This window comes from Homo sapiens, chromosome 18 (genome assembly GCF_000001405.40).
Source record: "Homo sapiens chromosome 18, GRCh38.p14 Primary Assembly".
Classification (NCBI taxonomy): Eukaryota; Metazoa; Chordata; class Mammalia; order Primates; family Hominidae; genus Homo; species Homo sapiens.
The window spans coordinates 6,481,682-6,483,458 of NC_000018.10; the positions used below are offsets into that span (position 1 = coordinate 6,481,682).

General features: G+C 44.7%; 1 annotated feature.

Moving 5' to 3' along the window:
* Positions 966 to 1,025: an enhancer, noted in NCBI's record as "active region_13061". NCBI's record gives its function as "activates an Ori minimal core promoter by ATAC-STARR-seq in GM12878 lymphoblastoid cells {active_cell/tissue: GM12878}" and the evidence as "EXISTENCE:reporter gene assay evidence [ECO:0000049][PMID:35858748]".

Here is a 1,777-nt window from a genome sequence, read left to right on the forward strand (position 1 = left end):
GATGCTGAAGAGAAGAAAAAGAAACCTACGCAAGCAGAAACAAGCAACAGAAACAATAAGGCAGCCCAGAGTTGTTTATTTATCAAAACAGGATTGAGACAATAGGGTAGAGCAAACAGGGTGTCAAACATGGCCTCTGTAGCCCCAAAGGTTGTCACTACACAGAAAGGATGCTCAGCCATAACGAATCAGTTTAATTCTATTCCACGTTTTTCTTGATGAGAAATACATGCCACATTTAAGAAAGCTACCGATTCAAAATGGTTAACATTTTCTAAAAATACACTGAGGTCTACAAAAATTGAATTGGCTTATTGTATCTTCACTGCTGTTGGAGAAGTGAAGTTTTACCATCAGGCAATTCTCCTCCTGTGCATAATGATACCATACTGAAGTTTTAAATAGAAAGACATTGAAGTTTTTGAACCTTAATGTGAAGTTGTCCCTTTCAATTAAATATGGCACATATGTATTAATAAACAGACATCCCTGTAAAGTGAATTTCTCTGTACATGGAATCCAAATTTCTCACTGGTTTATATGTTAAATTCATATGTAGGAAAAACTTTAAAAATGTTCATAAACTATAATAAAGACAATAATTCAGCTCTTCTGAAAACTGCAGGCAGATAGGGTACAGTAGCAGACAGGACTTCGGAAGTACTGGGTTTAAGCCCAGGGCAGGTTAAAGGTTGTGGCTGTGGCTTTGAACAAGCCACTTTTGCCCTTCTGAATCTATGCAGATGCTTTGTTCATTTCAGAAGCATTTCTAGAGCTCCTACTAAGTGCCAGGCCTCATGCTAGGTCTCAGGCATACAAGGGTAAACAAGACAAGGCCTCTGGCTTCATAGGTTATCCAAGAACCTTGAAATGGTTTTGAACTTTTGGGATGAATAATGCTGGAAATTAGTTCAAGACAAATTCCCTGGAGATTTTAAGTGTGAAATACTAAGGATTACACAATTCACTCCCTGCTTAGCGTCTAAGGAGGAATCGCATTTCACCCTCGCTCCCTGGGAAGTGCGTGGCCGCCCCAGTCCTGGGTCCCGTGCTGCCTCAGCACCATCTGCTGGCTCACGAGGGAAGGGCCTGCAGGGAGGTCCTGCGGGGTCGGCCCAGCCCCACCCAAGGACCGCCTTACAGACCTCCTGGCAGGGACCAATGATGGCTGGTTGGCCAAAATAACTCTTGCTGGTGAAGAAAGCTGGGAGAAACATGACGTCTGAAGGGTTACTCGCCACCGTCTGGCGTAGGTGACTCAGCCAGGCAGGACCTCACACAGAGGAAACATTATGATTGCTCTAAGTACTGTAAGAAGAGAATTATTATTTTGTTGTGAGTGTATGATCCAATAAAGGTAACAATATACAGAATCACATGCCCTGTAGGTGAGACTCCAACCCGTCCTAGACTTACTGGCTGTGTGGAGATGCCTGGGAGAGCGTGGCAGGGCTGCAGCAGCTCACATTCCCCACGTACCTGCCCTGGCAGACAGCCTGGGATTGGCAAATGCACAATCATATTCACCAGGTGAAGAAAGGACCAGGACTTCCCCTATGGTCCGTCTTTTCTGATTTTTTTCTTCTTCTTCTTCTTCTTCTTTTTTTTTTTTTTTTTTTTGAGACGGGGTCTCGCTCTGACACCAGGTTGGAGTGCAGTGGAGTGATCTCAGCTCACTGCAACCTCCGACTCCCGGGTTCAAGCAATTCTCCTGCCTCAGCCTCCCGAGTAGCTGGGATTACAGGCGCCCGCCACCATGCCCAGCTAATTTTTGTAT